This window comes from Homo sapiens, chromosome 14 (assembly GCF_000001405.40).
Source record: "Homo sapiens chromosome 14, GRCh38.p14 Primary Assembly".
NCBI lineage: Eukaryota > Metazoa > Chordata > Mammalia > Primates > Hominidae > Homo > Homo sapiens.
In genome coordinates, this window is record NC_000014.9 from 55,753,087 (window position 1) to 55,780,191 (window position 27,105).

The 27,105-nt window shown below is 43.1% G+C and overlaps 1 pseudogene across 1 annotated transcript, besides 2 other annotated features; it reads left to right on the forward strand.

The window, feature by feature from the left end:
* Positions 2–553: an enhancer, noted in NCBI's record as "H3K27ac-H3K4me1 hESC enhancer chr14:56219806-56220357 (GRCh37/hg19 assembly coordinates)". NCBI's record gives its function as "activates a minimal SCP1, AML or CMV promoter by ChIP-STARR-seq in naive H9 embryonic stem cells {active_cell/tissue: H9 hESC(naive)}" and the evidence as "EXISTENCE:reporter gene assay evidence [ECO:0000049][PMID:30033119]".
* Positions 554–1,104: an enhancer, noted in NCBI's record as "H3K27ac-H3K4me1 hESC enhancer chr14:56220358-56220908 (GRCh37/hg19 assembly coordinates)". NCBI's record gives its function as "activates a minimal SCP1, AML or CMV promoter by ChIP-STARR-seq in naive H9 embryonic stem cells {active_cell/tissue: H9 hESC(naive)}" and the evidence as "EXISTENCE:reporter gene assay evidence [ECO:0000049][PMID:30033119]".
* RPL13AP3 (ribosomal protein L13a pseudogene 3) lies at positions 13,075–14,631 on the forward strand (annotated as a pseudogene). The gene has a single exon (NR_004844.2). The product of NR_004844.2 is annotated as a ribosomal protein L13a pseudogene 3 (transcript).
* Positions 14,632–27,105: the final 12,474 nt, after the last annotated feature.

Genomic DNA, 27,105 nt, shown 5'->3' on the forward strand with positions numbered 1-27,105 from the left:
AGGGCATATGGTTTCACAAGTCTGATTTTTACCTTTCCCCCACTTGCAGCCAAGAAATGTATTGCTGTGCTTAAGATCTCTTTCATTCATTCGATAAACATTTATTAAGTGCTTACTGGGTGTCAGGCATTGTGCCAGGGCATTCTTTCACTGCGTTTGTTAAACAAACATGATTTATTTCTCTCTGAAGCTGGTACAATGAGGCCTCAGGCTAGTTGCTATATGCACAAAAGCATACCAGTTTGTATATTCTGCTTCCTGGCACCAGACACTTTGGCCCCAGTCACCAAAGAACCCCACTGGTGTTTCCAGCTCCTTGGTATCTCTTGAACCCAGACAGTCCATGTCTGAGGCCTCTGAATTAAAGCTTTACAGAGATGACCCACAGAATCTTTGTGTACCTGTCTCCTTGCAGAGGATAAGAGGTGGCCTCTTCCTTGAACACCCTGGTGGTAGTGTGGCCCAAGGGTGGCACACTTGTGCCAGCCCCCCCCTCCACAGTGCACGAGGCTTGGCTAAGCTAATTGGGGCTGTCTCTCAAATTCTTAAATTTGGCTTAAATTTGGTTGGGCGCGGCTCACACCTGTAATCCCAGCCCTTTGGGAGGCTGAGGTGGGTGAATTACTTGAACCGGGGAGTTTGAGACCAGCCTGGGCAACATGGCAAACCCCATCTCTACAAAAAATACAAAAACTAGCCAGGCGTAGTGGTGTGTGCCTGTGGTCCCAGCTACTAGGGAGGCTGAAGTGGGAGAATGGTTTAAGCCTGTGAGGCAGAGGTTGCAATAAGCTGAGAGTTTGCCACTGCACTCCAGCCGGGGTGAAAAATACATAAATAAATAAATCATACTTAAATTCAATAATTATTCACTAAGCACCTTCTATATGCCATTCTCAGGTCTAGGTACTTGTAGGTATCATTGAACAGAACAGGCCAAAATCTCTGCCCTTGTGGAATGCACCTAAGAACTGGCTGGCACCTCCCTGTGGATTCACTGGTAACTAAATCCAGAGAATAAATGACACATAAGACAGGCCCCAGAGGCTACTTACCAGGATGGAGTAAGGAAGTGATAATGAGGGCTTCCAGAGGAATAAACTTTTTCCACCGCCCAGGCTTTCTGGGCCCTGACTTTGCTGTGCTCTCAAGCAGCTATTGCCCATGTCTTTCCTTATAATTGAGAGCTCTGATCTCTGGACACTCCTGCAGCTATGGGCAGTGGAGGCTGTGCGAGGACCCTTACCTCCATCATTCAACCTGCAGAGAAGAGGGCTCTGTGGTGACTGGGGACAAGGTATCCAACTTATTTCTGCCATTGACCTGGTGGACAGAGTCTAGAAGGATGTTCCACTAACACTGTGGAACTCAGAAGTATTAAAACTCAGTATTTCCCTGCCCCATCAAGTCAGAAGACTGAAGAAGCAGCTGTTCCATTACAGCCAAGGTTTTCAAAGTGTGGTCCTTGGACCAGCAGCCTCAGCATCAACTGGTGTGTGTTACGTATTCTTGCTTAACAAGTTACTCTAAAACTTAGTGACTTAAACAACAAACATTTCTTCTCTCACAGTTTCTGTGGCTCAGGAATCTGGGCATGGCTTAGCTGGGAGCCTCAGGCTCAAGATGTCTCATGAGGTTGCTGTCAAGCTATCGGCAGGGGTGGAGATCTCATCTGAAGGCTTGACTCAGTTTGGGGAGGAGATCCACTTCCAAGTTCATGCATGTGGTTGTTGTTGGGCCTCAGTTTCTCATGGCATGAGCCTCTACATATGTCTGTCTTATAGCATGGCTTCCCACAGGGCAAGCGTTCAGAGAGGGTGAGAAAGCACATGAGATGGAAGCTACAGTCTTTGGAGAACATATGCTTAGAACTGACATTCCATTACTTCTGCCATATTCTATGCGTTAGAAGTAAGTAAGTTCAGTCTGCATCAGGGAAGGCTGATGTAGGAGTGCGGATGATTGCGTGCCTTATGCAAGAGGCTTATTTTAGAGCTGCCTACCATACCTGGAAACTTATTAGACATACAAATTGTTGGACCCCATTCCAGACCTACTGAATCAGAAACTCTGAGAGTGGGGCCCGGGAATGTGTGTTCTACACTCCTTCTGGGTGATTCTGATGCATGCTTAAGTTTGATAGCCATTGGCTTAGAGTAGGGGATTGGTGAACTTCATTTTAGGCACCAGGGGCCCCTACTATCTCTGCCTCAGCTACTCAGCTCTGCCACATAGAGGAAAAGTAGTTATGGACCATATGTAAATATTGGATATGGCTATGTTCTAATACGACTTTACAAAAAGAGGCAGTGGATGGGATTTGGGCCCCCAGGCTATAGTTTGTCCACCCATGCTTGAGAGTAGCAGGGACTTTTTATGTGATCAGCATTAGATGGTGTTACCTCCGTATTTTTTTTTCTTTTTAAATCAGGCAAAGCTGTTTTCTCTGTTTCCTTCCAGAATAGTCTGAGATAATTCTGACTCCCCAGCTCCTGAGAGATTACCAAGACTCAGAAAAAAGGATTGTGCATATGCTTGAGTTTTCTGACGTGTTTTTTTGTGGCTGCCAGTAAATCGCAAGCTCTTTGAGATAGTGTATGATGGAGGCTACGAATATGGGCTTTGGAGATAGACAGATGTGAGTTTGAAATCTGGTTCTACCGGCACTGTGAACATGGTGACTTAGCCTCTTTGTGCCTCAGTCTCGTCATCTGTAAAATAGAGCTGATGCTAGCCTGCACCCCACACAGTTATAAGCAGTTGTTCTAATTACCTACTGTCAGGTGACCAATCACCAAATTTAGTGGCTTAAAGCAACAACAGTTGGGCAGGTCTTCCGCTCCAGTGGTGTCATCGGTGGCTGCAGTCATCTGTAGGCTGGGTGGCGGTACATCCAAGGCAGTGTCCTTTGTCACTCACATGGCTGCCAGTTGGTGCTGGCTGTCAGGAGCACCTTGCTGTCTTCCACATGGCCTCTCTCTGTGGCTTGATGTTTTCACAGCAGAGCATGTGCACCTCTTGGGTTCCAAGAGGGAATGTTCTAAGCACAGACAAGTCTTGGGAGCTGCACAGGATCACTTCTGCAGCCACTGTCAGGACTAGTTCAGATCCCAGGAAAAAAAAAAATTGCTGCCATCTTTAAGCCACTCCAGGAGTAAATGAAAGTAACCACAAGAAGTGCTTGTCTCATGCCTGGGCTACAACAGAAAATAAATGCTAAGTACTTACATTAGGAAGCAGAAACTCTCTTGCCTGGTTCTTTGTGTCCTGTCCATGAGGGCTTATTGCTATTCAGTCAACAAGTGTTTCTTCAGGGCCTGCTGGATATCTCTGGAAGGTCACCAGTAGGATTCCTCTCCTCTCTACACTCTTTAATGATGTAGTCAGTTTCCTACACGGGTTATCATGACACTTTGGTTTCCTGAGAGCCCTGTAGGCCTAGCACTCTCCATTCAGAAGCTACCTGCCCTTCAACAAGCCCAGGGAGAAAAGAGGTGGGTTGGACTAGAGGGACGCTCTGAGATGATTTGATTGGAACAAGGGTCTTGTCCCCTCTCAGCTGCTGAGATAAGGATTCTCAGCCACAGAAAAGGACAGTCTGTGGGTAGACAGAGGGTCAAAGAGGACTGTCAAAGAGAGGAAATGCCCTCTTATGCTAATTCTCCATAATGGAGACTCCTTTGAAATCCGCCCCTTTGTTAGAAGCCCTTGGGGAGGGGAAGTGCTGACTACTTAATTCCCACTAGGACACATCTTTTGGACAATAAGCAGCCCCCAAATTTCACAGCATAAGAAAATGAAGCTTGTATTTGGAAAGTTTATTCTAACTGGGTGTGAAGGCCTATCTCAAGCTAGAATAAAGTAATAGTTGCCAAAAAAAAAAAAAAAAAAAAAAGCAGGTAACATGAGTTAAGGGGCTGGGTGTCCCATAGTAGGGACTGGTGAGGACTAGGGAAAATGGAGAGTGAGGCCCCATTACAGGGGTAGTTGCTGTCTATCTCCACTTGTGCTCTATGGGCAGTTGTGGCTGGATCTTCACATTTTTAAAGAAAAGTCTGAAATCTAGACTTTTAATTGGAATTTTCCACTTACAAAATGTTGGCAAATAATATAAAAATTTTAAACTACTATGTTGACCCATTACACACACACACACACACACACACACACACACACACACACACACACATCAGTGGTCAAAGTACTCCTGGCAGGTGTCCTGCAAGTTGACCTGCAAGAGATACAGGCAGGAGGCCGGGCGCGGTGGCTCACGCCTGTAATCCCAGCACTTTGGGAGGCCGAGGCAGGCAGATCATGAGGTCAGGAGATCGAGACCATCCTGGCTAACACGGTGAAACCCAGTCTCTACTAAAAATATAAAAAATTAGCCGGGCATGGTGGCGGGTGCCTGTAGTCCCAGCTACTCGGGAGGCGGAGGCAGGAGAATGGCATGAACCTGGGAGGCGGAGCTTGCAGTGAGCTGAGATAGTGCCACTGCACTCCAGCCTGGGCGACAGAACGAGGACTCCATCTCAAAAAAAAAAAAAAGAGATACAGGCAGGAGATTGGACCCTTTTCCTGAGCAACATTTCTCCTTATTGTTTTAGCTTGAGGGCCATATCACAGAAGAAAAAGAACAAGGGCAAGGAGACATTGGGTATTTATGGAATATTTTGGGGGTAAAATAGTTCTGAAAAAACAATACAACCTTTTATCTTTACTTATTTAGTCACCAGAATGATGTCACTGTGCATGAGTGCTGATCTCTAGAATATCAGCAAATGATTAAGTTTTGATAAGGTTCACATAAAAGAGCAAAGAAATGTCCATGTCTACCCCACTGACTGTTTGAGGGCTTGTGGTGTCTTCCTATTTTAGAGGAGGAAATAGAGATTCACTGAGGTTCTTTTAGGAACTGACTAGAAATCCCAAGGAAATCCTATTCTTGAACTGAAATACTAAGAATATCTACGCTTGTATCCAGGTAAAACTACATGTGTTGAAGAGAACTAATTATGACTAATATTAACTTGTGAAGATGGGAAAGCAGGAGAGATTTAGGTTAAATATAGGAAGTATTTAGAGATTAGAAGGGCTAAACAATGGAAGAAAGCGGAAGGCTTTTTTTTTTCCTTTTAACATGGAGTTTCTAAAAGAAAGAATGAAAAGCTTTCTTCCTGATGTACTGTGCAAGCAATTCTGCTCAGAAGGGGGTGGGTGAAGGAGGCACCCTATGGATACTTTTCCATCCTGTGAGTTTTTTCTTGGGCCCAGCAAACAAAGGCCCCCCAATTTACTAACTTACCAAAATGATTTACCAGCTGTCTCTTCCCCCAGGAGTTAAACAGGCAATAAAATAAATGAAATTCCTATTCTTTAGTACTTGATCCCCATAAATCATCACCCACCCAGGGTGAGCATTTATCTCTAAGGCGTCACAAAATATTTTAAATGCTATCTCCTTTATTTTGAATGAATTAGCAAAGAATCCAATGATGATAAATCTAAGTGTAATATAATTCTGCAAGCAGTAACTGATGAATTTCAGAAAATGGAGACTCTGTGTGTGTGTGTGTGTGTGTGTGTGTGTGTGTGTGTGTGTTTGTTTTGCAGGGAGTAAAAATTTTGGGGGGCTTCTCAGTTTCTTTTATTCTGTGCCAAACGTTTCCTAGGATTAGATCACTTTTGGAACTTCAGGTCCTCACAGAGCAGTTGATAGATAAGATCATATGGGATATTACTTTCCACATTTGGTTACTTATGCAGTCTATCTTGAACTAAAAGCTATTGTCCCAAATAGGGGGCTTTTGTGTGGTGCTGGTGAACACAGGGGTGCTATCCTGTCACCATGACAGCAAGCATTTGCATTAAGAGCAGGCTCCTCAGGCCACATTACAGTCATGTGGTCTAGAGGGACCCCTTTGAAGCTCCTGTAATCTTTTCCGAGCTGATTGTTAACATCTGAACATAATCATTAACCATGTTCTGTAACAGATAATTACCTCCTAGAGTTGGCATGTTCTATCCCTGAGTGGTCTGTGACATTCTTATAGGGTAAGACCTATTTCAGTGTTACTTTACCTAACCAATCAAAATAAAGCAATTTGATTTCTTAAAATCTGAGTAAGTTTCCCTTTTACAGAAAAATATTGTGTTGACCCTGACATCATGTGTATCTGTCATCCTGTGCCCCAGGGCTGTTCTTTGCCCCTGTATTTGAATACCTACCACTGGAAGCTTCCGAAACGCCACAGGCTCCTTTCTTCCTTCTGTATCTCCTCGTTTTCCCATGATGTCTGCATACTTATTGAACTTCTACTGCCAGTTTTTTGTTTCAGATTTATTGCATTCACTTACAATAAATATTACTGGCATATAGGCATACTTTTCTTTTTTTTTTTTTAACAAGTTTTCCCTCTGGATTTCTCCTTATTGCCTAACATCATTCCCTAAGACTCCCCAGGCTTGCGCCGTGACCAGGAAAATTCATGTTTCTCTCTTTGCTCTTGTACAAGGGAAAGCCTCCTGTTTCAAATTCCCTAATCTCAGCTTAGCTTTGAGGGGTACATTCAAAATTTCAGGAGAGCTAGATGAAATGGATGATAAAAAGAGTGCATGAGAGAAAAAAGGAAAGAAAAAAGAAAACTCCAAATCCGAAGCCATACTAGAGATTGATCTTCCTAACATCTAAGGATATGATTAAAGCACTGCACTATAATATCCTGTTGTTATACAAATAGGATGCAGAATCATTACGATAATAAAGAGTGCTTAGGTGTTTTAAATGTCACCTGGCTGGGGTACCCAGAATCTAGAGGTCAAGCATTTGATTGTGATACCCCAAGATACCTGTTGAGGGGTTGGCGTGGGGCCAGGAGGAAGGAGACTGTGAATCATACATGTCTACTCCCCACCCTGCTCATCTTTCTTTGCCAGTAAAATTTGACCAAAATGAGCACCCAAGCTATAAAAGTGCCATATTTTCTGAAATCCAAATTAGGACCCATGGCAAAGCCATCATGCTTGTGTTGGTGATAGAATCAATGTCTCCAAACTCATACTACTGAAGGAAGTAGTCAAACCTCTGCTGTGAAAGAGCAAATGGCCCAGGAGAAGAGGCAAAAAGTCTACCTGCTGGATGAGGGGTGTGGGGTTCCCTTGGGGAGGAGCTGCTCTGTGCTGAATACATACATACATACATATATATAATGGTGTCTGTATGTATATGTATGTCTAATATATGTATATATGCATGTATATTATGTGTATATATAATTTTTAAACGAGCCACTCTGGTCTTTAAAACAGCAGCTGGCTGGGCCACCTCTATCTACTCGATTTGCTTCTGGCTCCAGGTGACTGATTCCTACAGCATTACAGCTCCTCTTCCTCCACCTCCTGCTCAAAAAGCCCGGAAAATAGGGCCAACTCCCTATTTGTGCTGTACTCCAGGCAAAACTTCTATCATAATCAGCTCCCTTGTGATGCAGAAACCAATGAACTTGTGCTATGAATGCCCAATAGTGAACCGAATGATACATTTCCTTTTCCCAATTGAGCATTGTTTTATTTAATAAGCTCATACCTTTCCAATGGTGGGTATAAAATTGTCATGTGTCTGGGAAAAACAAATTGAGTTCTGATAGTTTGTGTGTGCACATGTGTGGAAACCTCTTTGATTAACACTAGCATGAGTGAGTCCTTCTGTGGTGAGGTGTTAAGATTGGGGGCACGGAGACCCCATGCGGCCATGTTTCTGAAGGCCTAAAGCAGAGGAAATTCTTGAGGTACAGAATATAATTATCCCAAATGGAAGGCAGCTGAGGTTCTGGAGTTAAGATTTCCTGCGCTTACACACAGTCGGGTATTTCAAGAATCTTGTCATAACCGATTGGACACACTTTTCAGGGATGAACGGCAATGTGCTGGGGCAGGAAGGCAGCAGCTGGCTGTTTGGCCAATCCATTGTTCTGCATTAATTTGACTTTATTTATTTATTTATTTTGGTCAGAGACCCAGTGGTGATGAGCTCATTTTGAATCTCTCTGCCTGCCACGTGTCAGTTCCAGAAATATTCCAACGCAACGTGGCATTTGTTATGTGTCGTGGGATCCAGGCTGATCAATTGGATCCAATCAACGTAGATGAGCTTTATTCACTAACAAAATTAATAAACATACGTTGTGACCTGAGCCAGTCAGAAGACAGCTTATTCATAACATAATAGCTCAGTGCCTCTGGGATGAACTGATCCAGTTCTTGATTCATCTCAGCCAGGGGGTCCGCAGAGGCACTGTCAGAGAGCTGCACTGATATCCCTCAGACAAACCGATTAAATCTGCACTAATCAGAGTGCCCAGTGCAAGTGCTGTCAGTGCCCTTGAATATTGCCAGGAGGATCAATTGCTTTGGCTTGGAAAAATAGATGTGTTTCTATCATTGATGGAAGTTATTATCTGGTGACAATGTTCTAGTACCTTGGTAACGTCTTTTAATTAAAACTGAGGAATAAATTCTGACCATGACCACATGTGTATGCTATTCAGGGAGCAGGTAGAAAGAGAGATTGAATTTTTCTATTTCTTACATGGAATAACACACAAACTCCATTCAATGGCTTACAAGAGTCAGCATTACTGACTTCAGTCTGCCATCTGATCATTCCCTGTCCCTCTCTCTTTGTGTGCTATTCTCCCCAGATGCTGGCTTGTGTTCCTGCCTTAGGACTGTGCTTGACAGCCTCTGCCTGGAATGGTTTGTCCTCCAGATGTTTGCATGACTGGCTCTCTCTTGTCACTTACATCTCAGCTTAAATGCCACCTCCCCATGGAGACCTTCCCTCATCACCACATAGTAAGTCCCCATTCCCTCACTCCCTATTACATCATCCTGGTTTATTTCCTTTCTAGCACTTAGTGCCCCCTGAAAGTCTCCTGCTGAACAGGTTATTTGTCAGTAGCGTAGCTCTCCTGAGTTCTCCACTGTGTCCCCAGTTGCTGGCACTGAGTCTGGCACGCAGTGGTGCTTAATCAACCTTGCTGAATGACTGAATTTCTCTGGCTCCTATATCTGCTTTTGGACAAGTCAGTGGATGTAGGGTTTAGAGGGCAGAACATTTCACCGAAGGGGTTAGATGCTGCTAGACTGGATGCTACCTCTAACTTACAGGGTGACCTTGGATAAGTCACTCAACCTTTTTGAGCTAATTGACCACTTCCTCAGCTCTAAGACAGTGTTTCCAAATGCTGGTTTTGGTTGAGACAGGAGCAAGTTGGATAATAGGTATTTTCTGTTTTAATCATTCGAGTTTTAATCTTGAAGGGGATGGGAATAGGCTATGGAATTTTATCCCAGATGAGATGGGAGAGAGGTACCTACTAAGGGGCCAGTATGAAAATCATTGAATAGCTTCCACACTATTTAACAAATATCCAGTCGGCGTACCATCTGGGAGAGTGGTTTTCTTTCGTGACCTGTAGCCAATGAATATTTACAGACCAGTAAAATTAGATTATTAGTAAATGAAAAAACTAACACTCACCTTAGAATAGTTTCTGCCTAGATCCCCAAGGTCCAGTTCCTCTCACACAGCTTGTGAAGAAGGCTTAAGCAAAGCTCCAAGCAGAAGCTGAGTTGTGAGTAGTAAGAAAAGGGTCCCTGTGCTCCCCTCCCCATGGGGCCCCAGGCTGCTCTTTTATCCTGTGCTGAGGACAACCCCATCCTTCATTCTTACTCAACACCTTCAGGTTCAGGAAGCCTGAAAAGCAGATTCGTGAGGGGGGTGGCTATATCCTTCCCAGCTTTAAAAGGCACTGCACCATAATGTGTTTTAAAAAGACCACAGCAGGTTGAAAAACGGCGAAATGCAAATGACAGAGTGCTTGTGTGAAAGTGGAGATACTACTCCCAAGGGTGGGGACTGAATGCTGTCTTCTAAGAAAAACAGAAAATGATGCTGTTAACTAAAAACAAGAACAGGAAAATCAACTACGCATATATTCTTCAAAGAAAACGAGGGGATTTTCACTAGAGGTTTTGGAGCAGTAGTTTTGTTTCAATAGATATGAGTGGAACTGATGTGATTTTCTGATATTATTACTTGTTTCTTGCATAGCAACCATCCAGCCTGCCCCACTACATTCATACACTAAGTGGAATACTTTTTATTTTCCTCCTGAAAACCAAAAGAGGAAAAAAGATAACTTTTCAGAGAAGCTTTCTATTGAAAGAAAACTCTCTGCTGCCAGTGAATAATTTTCCTGTGCTCTACACAAAACGTAGTTATTTTATATCCAATCAGCTTATGTTCACCCAGAAGTTATTATTTTTTATTATTATTAGTTTTTTGAGATGGAGTCTTGCTTTTGTCGCCCAGGCTGAAGTGCAATGGTGCAATCTTGGCTCACTGCAACCTCTGCTTCCCAGGTTCAAGTGATTCTCCTGCCTCAGCGTCCCAAGTAGCTAGGATTACACATGCCCGCCACCACGCCTGGCTAATTTTTGTATTTTTAGTAGAGACAGGGCTTCACCACGTTGTCCAGGCTGCTCTCGAATTCCTGACCTCAAGTGATCCACCCGCCTCGACCTCCCAAAGTGCTGGGATCACAGGCATGAGCCACTGAGCCCGGCTGCCGAAGTTATTTTATTGGAGGGAAAACATGATACTTTTTATTAAAAACTATTTTGTTTCTAAAAATTGACTATTTCATACACATTTATTAGGTTTCTGGCTATGATAATTCTATCGCTATAGCAGACCATTGGCTCTGCCAGGAGCACCTAGAAAATCTGGGTAAGGTACAAAATAAATGTATGTTTAAAAGCATCAGAAAGATACCACGCCTGGTATAACCTGAAGGGCCAGATTCTGGAAAAAAGAAAGGCTCATTGACATAAGCCATTTTTAAAACATGCTACTTTCTCCTTGGCACATTTTATGAGTTTAGGCCTGGGACAAGAAGCTGAGAATTCAGGCAGAGGATTGATTCCCAAGATCCAGGGCAGACTTCTGAGTTTTAAACAATCTCATGAAACTGCAGAGACAAAATCTAGAGTCCATATTTGCAGGGCAACCAGGAGTAAGGGTCCAAGATTCTAGAAAGAAGTGGAACAGAAGCACTAGTTTTCTCTTCAAGTCATTTACTGATTAATATCTGATTATCTGATTAATACTAAGGCAAAAAAAACGCAACTAGAAAGCCGATGAAACAGAATGGAATCAAAGGCAGTTTTGAAGAGACAAAAATTTCATTTCAGGGCCCATCAAGAAGGAATAGCCACAGGAAACATACTAGATTCTACGTTGGGAACCATGGATCTTGACTGGGCTGAGGAGATGAGCCTCCATAAAATGCTTGGCAGAGAATAGGGTGCACCTCCTCTGAGGGGCTATTATATAATGTAGAGCTTCTACAGCTTTTCATGTACAATATTCAGCATTCAATTAAAAATTATGAATTATACCAAGAGAAAAAAGTAAACTGGAAAAACAGATCAAGAAATGACCCAGACACCGGAAAGATCAGACATTGGTATTAAAATAACTGGGATTAATTATTCAAGAGAATACATGACAAAATGAAGAATTTAACTGAGAATAAGAATTTATATTTAAAAAGAACCAAATTCAAATTCTGGAAATAAAAAACACTACACCTGAAATTTAGAGCTGAGTAGATGAGTTTAACAGCAAATAAGACACAGGTAAAAAGAGTATTAGTGAGTTGTACAATAGGTGACTAGAAATATTCATAGTGAAGCATGGAGAAAAAAAGATAGAAAAATACATGAATAAGTATGAGACGTGCAGAACATGGTGAATAGGTCTAACATTTGAATTTGCATTTAACAAGGGAATGCATTTAACAATGGGGTAGAAGAATATTTGCAGAGATAGTCAAGAATTTTCCAAAACTGATGAAAGACATCAAGCCATAGATACAGAAACTCACTGTGAACCCCATGCAGAATAAATACAATGAAAACCATGCCTAGACACATTATAATAAAACTGATGAAAACCAAAAACAAAGAAAAAAATCTTAAGAAAAGTCAGAGGAAATAAAAAGATATGTTACTTTTAAAGGAACTACAATAAGACAGAAAGCTAATTTCATAACAGAAACAATAAGATCCAGAAGGCAGTGGCAAGATATCTATAAAGTGCTGAAAGAAAATAATCTTAGCCAGGTGTGGAGGTGCATGCCTATAGTTCCAGCTACTTGGGAGGCTGAAGTGGGAGGATTGCTTGAGCCTGGGAGGTGGAGATTGCAGTGAGCTGAGATTGCACCACTGCACTCTAGCCTGGGTGACAGAGCCAGACCCTGTCTCAAAAATAAAATAAAATAAAATAAAATAAGAAAATCATCATCAAGCTAGAATTTTACATTAAAAAATTGTTCAAAAGTTTAGCCTAGAAAGAGACATTCCAGGCAAATAAAGAACTATATTTCAATGGCAGAAAGATAAATAAATATTTTAAAGAATGGGCAAAAGGCATAAACAAGTATTTCCTAGAAGAAATAGAAATGGTAGATTAACATAAAAAAAGGAAAAGAGAGTAAAGAATCAAAATAAAACTGTTCTAAGTTCCAAAGCATATTTTGTAATTCATTAGATCTTTTGGCTGGATGAAATAATAATAGACACTATACCAACCTTGAATAATGAAGCCAGGAAGACAGAGCTTTATCTTTTCATTTTACAGAACACATTTTATCTCATCTGCTTTACAGGGAGGAAACACAGAGGCAAAGAGGTCAAGATACTTGCCCAAATTTATGAAGGAAGAGGTAGTAGTAGGACTCATATTTTACTGTCCCTGTAGTCTTAGCTCTTCTTAGACCCTTCGACTGTTAGTGGAAAAAGGCAGTTCAACACTGGTGCCTGTCCTCTTGGGACTTACATTCTAAGGGTAGGAGACAGACATCAAACAAATGATAAGGACTTTGAGGAAAAATGAAGCAGGTAAGAGGATAGGAGGCATAAAATAACCTTTTCGGAGAAATAGATCGGGGGCCTTCTGTCAGAGGAGGTAGTGTTTGAGCAGTTATCTAAATAAAGTGAAGGAGCCTCTCCCAGGCGGCTGCGGAAGATGGCAGAGGTGCAGGTCCTGGTGCTCGATGGTCAAGGCCATCTCCTGGGCCGCCTGGCGGCCATCGTGGCTAAGTAGTTACTGCTGGGCCGGAAGGTGGTAGTCGTACGCTGCGAGGGCATCAACATCTCTGGCAATTTCTACAGAAACAAGTTGAAGAATCTGGCTTTCCTCGGCAAGCGGATGAACACCAACCCTTTTCGAAGCGCCTACCACTTCCGGGCCCCCAGCCGCATCTTCTGGCCGACAGTGCGAGGCATACATGCTGCGCCACAAGACCAAGCGAGGCCATGCCTCCCTGGACTGCCTCAAGGTGTTTGACGGCATCCCACCGCCCTACGATAAGAAAAAGCGGATGGTGGTTCCTGCTGCCCTCAAGGTCGTGCGTCTGAAGCCTACAAGAAAGTTTGCCCTTCTGGGGCGACAGGCTCAAGAGGTTAGGTGGAAGTACCAGGCAGTGACAGCCACCCTGGAGGAGAAGAGGAAGGAGAAAGCCAAGATCCACTACTGGAAGAAGAAACAGCTCATGAGGCTACGGAAACAGGCCGAGAAGAACGTGAAGAAAAACTGACAAATACACAGAGGTCCTCAAGACCCACGGACTCCTGGTCTGAGCCCAGTAAAGACTGTTAATTTCTCATGCTTGGCCTGGCCTGCCCTTCCTCCGTCGTCGCCCTGGAATGTGCGGGACCCAGGGGCAGCAGCAGTCCAGGTGCCACAGGCAGCCTGGGACATAGGAAAGGGTCTTAGTTACTGCCTTCTGACGTTACTTGAAAGCGCTCGGAGAATTGTGCAGGTGTAATTTATTTATGACCAATAGGAAGAGAAACCAGTTACTATTAGCACAAGGGAGCCGGAAGACTAATTGGAGGGGCCCTCCCTTGTGAGTGGAGCTCCTGTTTAACTTTCTACCTGGTCATATACTATACTCTGCAGCTGTTAGAATGTGCAAGCGCTTGGAGACAGCATGAGCTTGCTGTTGTACACAGGGTATTTATAGCAGCATAGACTGGGAAGATGGGCAACAAAGGGGATACAGGCATTGCCTATGCTCCTCACCTGTATTTTGTAATCAGGATCAAATTACTTTTAAAGAAAAAAAAAACAAAGTGAAGGAGCAACTCATGTAAATGTTTGGGAGAAGAGCTTTCTAGGCTTCAAGCAAAAAGACCAGTATGACTAGAGCAGAAAGAGTGAAGGGCAGAGCGAAGTTGGGACAAATAGCTTTATGAAGCTATGGTGAAGACTTCAAGTTTTACTTTCAGTATTGTGTAGTCATTGGAAGACTTTGAGCAGAGAAATAACAGGATCTGACCTAAGTTTTGAAACAATGACCCTGACTGCTATGTGGAGAATAAAGGGCACTGACGATAGACTCAGAGTTTTATATTAGTCCAGAGGGTATTATATTAGCCCAGGCAAGAACTGATTGATAGAGGCCTGGACTAGGATGATAGTGGTGAATTAATGATAAATAGTTGTATTTGGAATATATATGCTAAATAAAGCCAATAAAGTGGGAAAGTAAATTAGTACAGCCATTATGGAAAATTGTATGAAGGTTTTTCAAAAAACTAAAAATAGAGTGACCATATAATCTAGCAATCCCATTTCTGCTTTGATATGATTAGGCTTTGTGTCCCCACCTACATCTCATCTTGAATGGTCATCTCCATAATCCCCGTGTTTCAAGGGAGATACCAGGTGAAGGTACTTGAATCATGGAGGTGGTTTTCCCCATGCTGTTCTCGTGACAGTGAGTGAGTTCTCACGAGATCTGATGGTTTTATAAGGGGCTCTTCCCACTTCGCTAGGCATTTCTCCTTGTTCCCTTGTGAGGAAGGTGTCTTGCTTCCCCTTCACCTTCTGCCATGATTGGAAGTTTCCTGAAGCCTCCCCAGCCATGCTGAACTGTGAGTCAATTAAACCTCTTTCCTTTGTGAATTACCTAGTCTCGGGCAGTTGTTTATAGCAGTATGAAGATAGACTGATACATGCGTATATGTCCAAAGAATCTGAAAACAGTATGTCAGAGAGATATCTGCACTCCCATGTTTATTGTGGCATTATTCACAATAGCCAAAATAGGGAATCAACCTAAGTTTCTATTGACAGATGAATAAAGAACATGTAGCATATATACCCAATGGAATACTATTCAGTCTTGAAAAAGAAGGAAATTCTATCATGTGGGACAGCATGGACATTATGCTAAATGAAATAAGCCAAGCACAGAAGGACAAATACCACGTGATCTCATTTATATGTAGACTCTAAAACAATTGAATGAAGAGAAGAATGGTGGTTATCAGAGACTTAGGGGTGGGGGAAATAGGGAGTTGTTCGTCAAAGGGTATAAAGTTTCAGTTAGACAGGAGAAATACATTTTTTTGGAATTTATTGCACAGCATGGTGACTGTGATTAAGAATAATATGTTGCTGTGGGAGGATTGCTTGAGGCCAGGAGTTGGAGACCAGCCTGGTCAACATAGTGAGACCCCATCTCTATTAAAAAATAATGAAGAAAAGAAAAAAAAAAGGCTGGCGCAGTGGCTCACGCCTGTAATTCCAGCACTTCGGGAGGCCAAGGCAGGTGGGTCATTTGAGGTCAGGAGTTTGAGACCAGCATGGTCAACATGATAAAACCCAGTCTCTACTAAAAATACAAACATTAGCTGGGTGTGGTGGCAGGTGTCTGTAATCCTAGCTACTCAGGAGGCTGAGGCAGGAGAATTGCTTGAACCTGGGAGGTGGAAGTTGCAGTGAGCCGAGATTGTGCCACTGCACTCCAGCCTGGGGGACAGAGTAAGACTCCATCTCAAAATAATAATAATAATAATGTATTACATATTTCAAACTTAGTAAGACATGGAATTTAAATATTCTTACCACAAAAGTATTTGAGGTGATGGATATGACAATTAGCTTGATTTAACAATTCAACATGTAAATATATAGCATCACTTTATACCCCATAAATGTGTACAATTATAATTTGTCAATTTGCAATAAACACAACAGAAAATAAAATAAAGCCCACAAGATTTACTACAGGATTATTTTTGTGGGATGAGGAAAAGAAAGGAGCTAAAGATGATCCCAAAGTCCTTAGGAACTGAGGGAATAGAGGAAACATTTTGCATTCGCAATACACCAGGACAAATACCGCTAGAAGTAAGAATAATGGGTGTATCAGCTAAGGCACCTAACATGAGCATGAGGTGGAGTGTGGCTAGGAGAGCTTTACTGTGCTCCCTTTATCTTCTAGTTTCCATTGTCTTTCTGATTTTGTAAGTTTTAATTTTAGTTCCCTTCTTGGAATGGTCATTGCCTGATCCTGGTCCACTGATCTTAAGACTACATCCAGGCATTACTACCAAACTGAACCCCCAAAACAGAGCTCCCTGGTCACCAGGATGGGCTCTGGCTCTTTGCCTTGAGCTCTGCACGGTCATCTGTGGAACCTGCAGCAGAGATCTAGCTATTAGGGGCAGAGTTATAGTAACTCACCAAAGAAGACACCTCCCTCCTCTCATTGGAACTGCAGGATGACATACCCAGCAGTGACCTCAGCCAGTCTAAGGGTACTCTATGGGTCTGTGGCTTAAGCTAGTCAAGGTTCACCCATGGAACTGAGAGTAGGGTCAGTTTTTCCCAGTGCACACAGTGGAGGTAGACATATGAAGGAAAATTAAACTTCCTTTTTAAAGAACTGGAGAAAATGCATGCTGAGTGGTCCAAATGGAAAATACCCATTCCATGAGGGAAGAGCATGCTCAGGAGATGGGTAGACAGAAAAGCACTTGGGAACATATGTGGTGCATGAACAATGACCCACCCAAGAATAATTATTGGGAGAACGTGATGTAGATAATCTATTCTGAGCTCATTTATAGATAAGCATCTCTGAGGACACACACTTAAGTTGAACCCCATCCCGCCTTTAGGCGTTATAAGGAAATGATAATGTGTGTGTCTAAGTCAGAGCTAGTCCTACCAAAGCACAGAAGCTTCTAAAAAATAATGCTCATGTGGACCCTTTTTCAGTCATCTTAGAAACCAGCCATTCCTCTCTCAGATTGAAGGCAGTACTAGTCCTGCCTCTGGTTTAGAGAAGAGTTCAGAGATGGAAGATGGCTGGTCTCACCAGATGCTGCATCACAGGTCATGCTGTGCTGGAGCTGAAAGGGATCTCAGAGGCTATTCAGTCCAATTCTTCAATTAGATGAGGAGAGGAAAAGCTTAGAGTTCTAGACACAAAATTACATATATATTTGAAGACTTACTTAACCTCTATGCATATTATATGGCCATTGTGCTCATAATTAGCTATTTCTGCTGGGTTCATGTCTGAAGGAAGGGAAACCAGACTGTTATGCTATATACCCTTTGTCTGTTCCTGTTAGTCATTCGTTGATTAGAAAAATGCTCACTGAGTATCTATCACATATCTGAAACTGTTTTCAGCTGAGAATACAGCAGTGAACTAGACAGACACAGATCTTGCCATTAGGGTCTAGAGGGAAAAAACAGAAAATGGTCAAATAGGTTGGGTGCGGCTGCTCATGCCTGTAATCTCAGCACTTTGGGAGGCCAGGGCAGGTGGATCACCTGAGGTCAGGAGTTCAAGACCAGTCTGGCCAATGCGATGAAACCCCATCTCTACTAAAAATACAAAAATTAGCTGGGTGTGGTGGTGTGTAGCTGTAATCCTAGCTGCTAGGGAGGCTGAAGTGGGAGAATCGCTTGAACCTGGGAGGCGGAGGTTGCAGTGAGCCGAGATCATGCCATTGCACTATAGTCAGATTATTTAGAAATTGTGGTATTATAAAGGAAATAAAACAAGGGTTGTGTAAACTAGTGAAAAACAAGGGAGAGCTACTTTAGATAAGGTGGTCAAGGCAGAATTCTCAAAATAGAGTAATTCAAAGAATTTAACTAAATATAATCTGAGAAAATTTCAGCAGGCCTTGTTCAGCTCCAGACCCCAATGACAACTGAAGTTTGGACATTTGAGGTGACCCTTGAGCTACTCTTCTGTCTGATCCCTCAGGTTAAGATGCCCTAAGTTGCTGGGAGCTTCACCAACTTGGCATGGTCCAATTCATGGAGACCATAGCCAAGAATGGCCTGAGAACCAGTGAAACTCCACACTGGTGGTCTGGAGAGAGGGAGCATCAGGACATTCAAGTTTTGTGAACTTTAGCCCTGTATGTTTCCAAACAGAGTCAGCAGTGCAGAACTTGGAATCCAAAAGTCTTGAGGGCCTCTTAATTAGTTCTTTGTTCCAGGAAAGAAGTCTGGAAACTTCATGCTGTTGAGAAAACTTCCAAAACAATGAACAACTTGGAATGCTCACAGATCATCAGAGCCACTCTCCTTCTTTCAACCTGGTGATAATATGTATTTATTCACATGCCCTTTGACCACTTCCCCCTCTTCTGTCACTCTAAGCTCCCTGAGAAGAGGATCTTCAATTCATTTATGCCTCCCGGAGCTCCTGGAACAGCACTGCCTTACAGATAGCAGGTACTCTATGACTGTTTATTCTATCAGTGAACCTGGCAATTTGCAGAGCTTATGTATCATGAGTCTGAGCTTTTTCAGCTGGGGCCTCCCAGAAAGGCTTGGCTCCTGGTCCTCCAGCAGAATAATTCCATCCTTGGGAGTTGAGAACCATCTGGAGTGGAGGCTCCCAGTGGGGAAGATGGAAAATCCAGCATTGAAATCAGGCTAGGCTAAAGACAGAACGCCCTCAGAACTCACATTCCAGTGAGGTCCTGAAGGTCTCTGCCTCAGCTGGAGTCATGGACCAGAATGGGGGCTTCTTGAGACTCCTCTTTGTACTCAGGGCAGAGGGCTGAGCATCTCACCTGCTTTACCATCCAGAATGCCAGGATTCGATCCTAGAATTTGTATTCAGATGGAAACCCTACTTTCCAGTGCTTTTCATTTTTGGCTTTGAATCAAAAGGAAAGTCATTCTAAATGAAGAACATACTTAATGACCTTTCCCGAATGGAAGGCAAGATGCCCATAGCCCACGATGTTAGTCTGAATCAATTCCTTTCCTAGCATGAAAAACAACAATAACTTCCGAGGAAGGGGAATGCCAGAGGGGGACCTGAAAGGCTCTGGGGGTACTTTAGACACTCAGTAGTTGATTGTTTCCAAAGATAAACCGATACTTTTACCTTGCTGGCTTCTGAGCAATTTGTGGGGGTATGTGTACCAGGCTTCAACAAAATACCATTGTGAGGCTGAGCACCAAGTGCTTTGTGTGAAGGCCAGATCTGTGTTGGTGTGTGATGTGCAACCACGTATGGGCAGATGCCTGCTGTTTGGAAAGAATTGCAGGGCAATTAAAAGACTTTTTGAGAGTTGGCAATATTGTTAATTCCTTTGCCATTTTATATGAGCAGGAGGATTAATTAGTGTTGGCTTTATGGAGTTATATCTAAATGTATATGTTTTGGGTTAGATATTTCTTTTTACTAGATTAGTCAGACTTGTTCCCAACTGTGCAGGCCACCTCATGGGATTCATTTATGCTTGCCTGAATGCTTCTTGTTTGCTGGAGTGTGTTATCCAGGGCTGACACCAGAACCATTTACAGCAAGGCTGCCTCTGTCCTCACAATATTACTTTTGAGGAAGAAATCAGAAGAAAAATGGGTAGGTATTTAGAATACAAGGGCAGACTCAGTCACAGAATTTCTTTTGTTTTTGTCAATTTCTGCAAATGACTTTTTAAAACAGTCTTATTTTCCCAATTGTATTTCTTTGATATTTCTTTGTTTTGTTTCTTTTACAGAAGACAAAAAGAGACAGAACTCTTTGCAGTAGGGGCATCTTTTTAAGGAAGCTCAGAATAGCCCTCCAGAACCATTTACCCAGACCTCTTCAATGTTCAAACATGAGCCTGTGAAGCTCCCAGTTCCTCCTTTTCTCAATTAAGCTATAATTAGCAGAATAGTTGTTCTTAGATACTTTGGTGACCTTGGAAATATAAGATATTCCAGAAATAGATGTATTCATGATTCTCTTATTGCCCATGGTAATGGGGGTGGTTTGTCTTATTCATTTCCCAGCACTGGTTCTAGCACATGGGAGTGTATAGTCAATGTTTATTCAATGAATGTTTGGCCCAGGGCTTGGGCCATCATCTGGGGAAGGGGTTCTCCATGTAGCTTGTATGAGGTTTACTGAGATGGATTGTTAGCAGAGTTATTCTAGGCTCCAGCATCCTGAGTTAGGATTCAGTAGATCAGAGGGAGGGTCCAGGAATCTGTATTGTTAACAAATGCCCTGATGCATTTGGATACACATGCCCTTTGGACCGCACACACTGCAGGGAAAACTGCTCTGGGGAAGATGGCATTTTAGAACTTCAGAGGAAAAGTTTCTCCCACCCAGTTTAGGCTCCTTCCCATTTTGGTTCATGCCCAGGTTCTTCTCTGAGGATCCCCCATGATGACTCCCTCCTTCTTGGGTTGTTGCTTGGGAAATGTCTCCAGGTGCCACCCCTCATCCACCTTCTGCTTTCAGACCACTGTGGAGTCTACTTTGCTCCAGATCAGATTCCTGCTGTTCCTCCGGAGCCACCTGAGACTAGCATGACTGGATGGGACCCTCTGGTTTTGCTCTGGAGTTGCACACAGTTACTGAGTGACCAGGGTGCCTGGTTTAGGTGACCTTTCCAGGCAGCTGTGCTGTGTGTTTGACACAAGACAATGAGTGATATTCATTATGTGAGCTTAGGTGTATGAGTGAGATGATATATCTAAACTTGGCACAGTGCAGGATTCAGAACATAGGCTCCCTATGATATAGATGTTTCTCTCTCAGTGGATGGAAACCCCTTGAAGGCTAGAACTAGGTCTGATTTGGAAGAGCTCCTGAACTAAACTAGACCTGGGATAGTTAATTAATTACCTGTCAACTTGACACATAACACTGGTTCACTGGGAGCCCAGATGTTTGGTGAAACATTATCCTGGGTGTGTCTGTGAGAGTGTTTCCAGAAGGGAATAGAATGTATGATAGGATAGCTTGCTCTCCCCAGTGTGAGTGGCCCCTATATAATCCACTGAGGGCCTAAATAGAACAAAAAGGTGGAGGAAGGGAGACTTCACCTCTGTCTGCTTAAGTTGGGACACCTGTCTTTTCTTGTCCTCATTCCAGGACTTACATCATTGGCTCTCTGGCTCTCAGGCCTTTGAACTTGGACCAGAATTACATCACTGGCTTTACTAGGTCTCCAGCTTAAGAATGACAGATAGTGGGACTTCTTCGCCTCTATTATTACATGAGCCAATACCTTATAATAATTCTCTTTATATCTCACTGGTTGTGTTTCTCTGGAGAATCTTGACTAATATAAGGCCTCCTGAGCACTGGAGCTAGAGCTGGCATTCACCTGAACATTAGATATCAGTCTAATATACTCACAAAATAAACTAAATAGCAAATAAAATAACTAAATAGCAAAACCCCAGGGATGCATCAGGTGGGCAGTCTTTAGCAACAGCTAAACACTGAAGGGGATGTTGACAAAGTGATATAGGAGGTAACTATGCACAAGGCCTTCCGAGCAGACCTGGTCAGTAGCACATGGCAGGAAAACATCTTCACATTCAGAAGCTGGGAATACTTAACACCACCCCTCCTCATCCTCTCCCCACTGCTGAAGGAGCAGAGAAAACATTTTGGAGCAGGCAGATCTTGGTGTGTCTGCATTACATAAGAGTTGTACTTCTATAATAGCATAAATGTGTGCAGTAGCTAACAAAGAGGAATGGCTGTCTGGTAAGAAGCTGTATTAGTTTGCGAGGGCTGCTGTAACAAAGTACCACAAGCTAGGTGGCTCATACAATAGGAACTTATTGTCTTGCAGTGCTGGAGGGTGGAAATTTGAATCGAGGTGTCAGCATGGTTGGTTCCTTCTAAGGATTGTGAGAGTCTGTTCCAGCTGGGCATGGTGGCTCACGCCTGTAATCCCAGTACTTTGAGAAGCCGAGTACTTTGGGAGGCCCAGTACTTTGGGTGGATCACCTGAGATCAGGAGTTCGAGACCAGCCTGGTCAACATGGTGAAACCCTGTCTCTACTAAAATACAAAAAAAATGAACTGGGTGTGGTGGGGCACACCGGAAATCCCAGCTACTTGGGAGGCTGAGGCAAGAGAATCACTTGAACCCGAGAGTCAGAGGTTGCAGTGAGCCAAGATCACGCCACTGCGCTCCAGCCTGGCCAACAGAGTGGGACTCTGTCTCAAAAAAAAAGTCTGTTCCATGCCCGCCCCCATCTTCTGGCGTTTTGCTGGCAGTCTTTGGCATGTAGGAATGTCACATTGATCTCTGCCTTTTATCATCACATAGTATTTTCCCCGTGTGCATAGCTATGTCCAAATTTCCCCCTATTGTAAGGATACCAGTCATAGTGGATTAGAGGCCCTACCTACTCCAGTATGACCTCATCTTAAATAATTACATCTGCCATGACCTTATTTCCAAATAAGGGCACATTTTGAGGAGCTGAGGGCTCCTTGTTTGCTTGTGTGTTTGCTTTGTTTGCTTGTTTGCTTGTTTGTTTGTTTAGAGATGGGATATTGCTAGGTTGACCAGGCTGGTCTCGAACTCCTGGTCTCAAGCGATCCTCCCATCTCAGCCTCCCAACGTGGTGGGATTACAGGTGCGAGCCACTTCATCTGGCCCAATTTCAACATATGAGTTTTTGAGGGACACGATTCAACCCATAGCAGTGTCAACCCATAACAGCAGTCAACTGTCTGCCACATGAGGTAAAGCAACACGATTAACTTTACCATGACAATCTCAGCTGTTCTACTTTCTTATTTGCATGTATTGTTTAATTCAGTCTAAAGGTAACTTGTGCTCTTTAAATGTTAGATGATAATAAAAACGATAAAATCAATTGGAAAAGGATAAGGTCTAGGAACTTCAGAGAACATAAAAAATTAAAAATATCATTACTGTCATTATCATCATCAATCCAGCCATTTTTGCATCTACCTACTTCCTTGCTATAATAGCCATAAAAAAACCCCACAGCCACTCTACTGGCAAATAATATTAAAGCCCTCAGATAGAAATCTAAGAAGCAATAACACTGTGTAGTTACTAAACTCCACACTCATGGGAATTGTTAAGTAACTCTAATCATTTATGAAATTTAGTCTACTGGAGTCATAAAATTGATTTTTCAAACATTTATATTCATTATTTAAACACTCGTTCCCAGACTTGGCCATAGAGAACACATAGAAAAGTCAGTTTATTCATTTCAGACATTTTGGGACTACGTACATGTCAAAATTTATAAATATTTTAAAAACCTTTTAGAGCTATAAAGTTATTATGTAATGTTCTCTTAAAGTAGCTGAATCTATTTATTCCAACTTTTTATTTCAATGGAAAGCATAGTTCCAAGAAAATAAGAGCATGATATTTTCTACTTAAAATCTTTTTTTATAAAGCTTATTAAGAGGCATCAAATAAAGACAATAAAGAACCTTGAAACAGAATTATTTTTAACTTTTAAAAATAATTTTTCAGTCCTTGCTGCTGTTCCCTGGAACTTTCTGATGAGTGCTCATCAGTGGGGCAGACAGGTGCCAATCTGTGTTGGCAATTTGTAGGAAGGAGGCACCTGACTGGTGGACCGTGTCTGACCCAGTAAGAGAAGATGCAGGCCGGGCCTGGTGGCTTATGCATGCCATTCCGGCACTTTGGGAGGTTAAAGTGGGCGAATTGCTTTAGTCCAGGAGTTTGAGGCCAGCCAGGGTGACATGGTAAAACCCTGCCTCTATTAAAAAAAAAAAACAAAAACCCAAAATTAGCCAGGTGTGGTGGCACACACCTGCTGTCCCTGCTACTTGGGAGGCTGAAGCAGGAGGATGACTTGAGCTTGGGAGGTGGAGGCTGCAGTGAGCTGGAGTGCTACTGCACTCCAGAGTGAGACTCTGTCTCAAAAAAAAAAAAAAAAAAATGTGTGGGCTCGGGGGAGGCTGGCTTCACTGAGTCATGTGCTATGTGTATGGGAAAAGACCCTACCCAAGAATGGCTGTGCCCCCCACATCATGAATTTGGAAGGGGCTGAGATTCATCTGAAGCTGCTCCATCCTGTGCATGGCCTTTTCTGTTCTTTTCCTGTCCTTTTTCTTTTCCTTTCCTTTTCCTTTTCCTTTCCCCTTTCCTTTGAGATTCATCTGAAGCTGCTCCATCCTGTGCATGTCCTACCTGCCTTTTCCTTTTTTCCTTCTTTTCTTTCTCTCTTCTTTTCTCTTTCAAGTTTCACTCTTGTCACCCAGGCTGGAGTGCAATGGCATGATCTCGGCTCACTGCTAACTCTACCTCCGAGTTTCAAGTGATTCTCCTGCCTCAGCCTCCCAAGTAGTTGAGATTACAGGCGTGTGCCACCATGCCTGGCTAACTTTTTATTTTTAGTAGGACGCAGTTTCACCATGTTGGCCAGGCTGGTCTCAAACTCTTGACCTCAGGTGATCCAGCCGCCTCAGCCTCCCAAAGTGCTGGGATTACAAGTGGGAGCCACCATGCCTGGTCCTGCATGGTCTTTCTCTTTCTCACACGATGTTATGCAAAAAAGGTCTCTGTCTAGTGAAGATGTCCTAGGTGACTACCATGCCAGGGCCACCACTTCTTTGGCTGGGCCATGGAAGAAGTATCTATGCCAAGAAACGGCCTGGGCCTTGGAAAAAATGTTTTCCTCATGCCCTCACACAGCAAGGGCAGACCAGCTAGGACTCTTTTCATGGGATATACACAGGGCCCTCTTCTGAACTGCAGAGCCTGGAAAATTTGTACGAAGCTTGTTCCTTCCCAGCAGCCCTGCCCTTTGATAAACTTCGATGTCACCAGCTGCTTTATTGCTCCTGCTTTATTGATGCCGCTCTCATCTCCTCTACCAGCCACACAAACATGGGGCACTCACTGGAGTGTTGCTATGTCTTTAAGTGAAATTCACATAACATACCATTAACCATTTTTAAGTTTACAATTCAGAGGCATTTATACATTCACAGTGTTTTGCAAACATCACCTTTACCTAATTGCAAAACATTTTCATCACCCCAAACGTGAACTCCACACCCATTAAACAGTCCCTCCCCCTTTGCCCCCACCTGCCCTAGCTCCTGGCAACCAGTGATGCAGTTTCTGTCTCTATGGTTTTACCTATTCTGGATATTTCATATAAATGGGATCATACAATTTATGGCTCTCAATGTTTGGCTTCTTACAGTTGCCAGGATTTTTTTCAAGGTTCGTCCATGTCGTAACATGTGTAAGGACTTAGTTCATTTTCATGGATGAATAATATTCCATTGGATGGATGTATCATTTTTTGTTTATCCATTCATTGATGAACGTTTGGGTTTATTGCTATTGCTATGCCCTCTGTTTTCTTTGTTTACTTCCTTTTTTGGGCAGAGAACCCTAGGCTAAAGTCGTTGACTATGGGCTCGTGGGCGTCTTGAAAAGGTGACATACACAGTGTGTAGACTCTGGGGGACTGAGCTTTACCATTCCAGAAAGTGTTTGTGTCTCTCTTTCTGAAAGGACTTTCTGACTTGATCAGCCACCAGCTTGGGACTAACAGCCCTTCCTGCAAGGGTGTTCTTCCTCAAATGGGTAGCACTTGCACTTTCCATGGAAAGAGCTGGTTTCATCTTCCTTTCCTGGGAACTCAGCATCACTCTTGCAGGTTGTCTTTCCTGTCTCATAAGCTTGCTTTTTGCTTACTTTTATTGCTCTCACATTTCTCCAAAGACTCATAACTTCTCATACTCCAAGCACAGAGGTAGGGCTTGGAGGTTGTGATATAAACCCAGCAAGTGGCTAGCTCTTTTCAGTGTTCATGTTTTCCCTACTTGAATGTGGGGCCTATGGAAATGTTAAGTTGCCTTGCAGTTTCAGAAATGCCAAGTGCTAAAAACATTATGTGTTTAATGGAAGGCCTAGGTGATTTTAAAAAACCTCAGCTATCAGGCTCCTTGTGGCTAATGGCAATAACACTGCTGCCCAGGTAGGCTTTGAAGGACAGGCCATAATTCTTACTTGGGGCTCTGCTCACTCCACAAGTCATTCCAGCTCCATCTTCAGTTTTGTAATGTTACCAGGGTGCCCATTGGTATTAAAGCCCACGGCGGCCCAAGAATTCTCCTGTCAGTTGTATCAAGTGTGTCCCTATAAGCTCTACCATGTACCTACAGTCCTAGGGCTAGAGCTGGTTTTGGCTTACTTTCCTCATTGAGACAGTTTAGGTTCACCCAGAGGTGACTCTACACTTGTAAAATCCCCAGTCTGCTGGCATGATTAAGTGATAGCTCTTTATTTTTATTTTTATTTTTTTTTACTATATGGAGTCTTACTCTGTCACCTAGGCTAGAGTGCAGTGGAACGATCTCGGCTCACTGGAACCTCCACCTCCCAGGTTCAAGTGATTCTCCTGCCTCAGCCTCCAGAGTACCTGGGATTACGGGTGTGCCCACACCTGGCTAATTTTATTTTTATTTTTATTTTTTTGTAGTTTTGGTAGAGAAGGGGTTTTGCCATGTTGGCCAGGCTGGTCTCGAACTCCTGACCTCAAGTGATACACCTGCCTCGACCTCCCAAAGTTCTGGGGTTACAGGCATGAGCCACTGTGCCTGGCCGACAGCTCTTTAAATGTGCAGAGTGTTCTCTACCATGAAGCCCAGGTGGGCCCTTATGACATATGGGGAAACCACTTCTAGCTGCATAGCATGTCGGGGGGCCTTGCTGGGCCCTTCTGGCCCACACCACTGATGCCTCCTTTAGTTTGTACTTTTAAATTACAAGAGTGAGAGGATCACATCACAAAGCCAAAGATTTCAGTTCTATTCTGGATGAAAGAAAAATTTATCCTAGCCCTCTCCGTGAATGTGTGCCTAATGAGTTAGAAACAAAAACCCATAAAGTTTTCCTGTTACTGTGAGGCTTGATTCACCTGTTTATTCA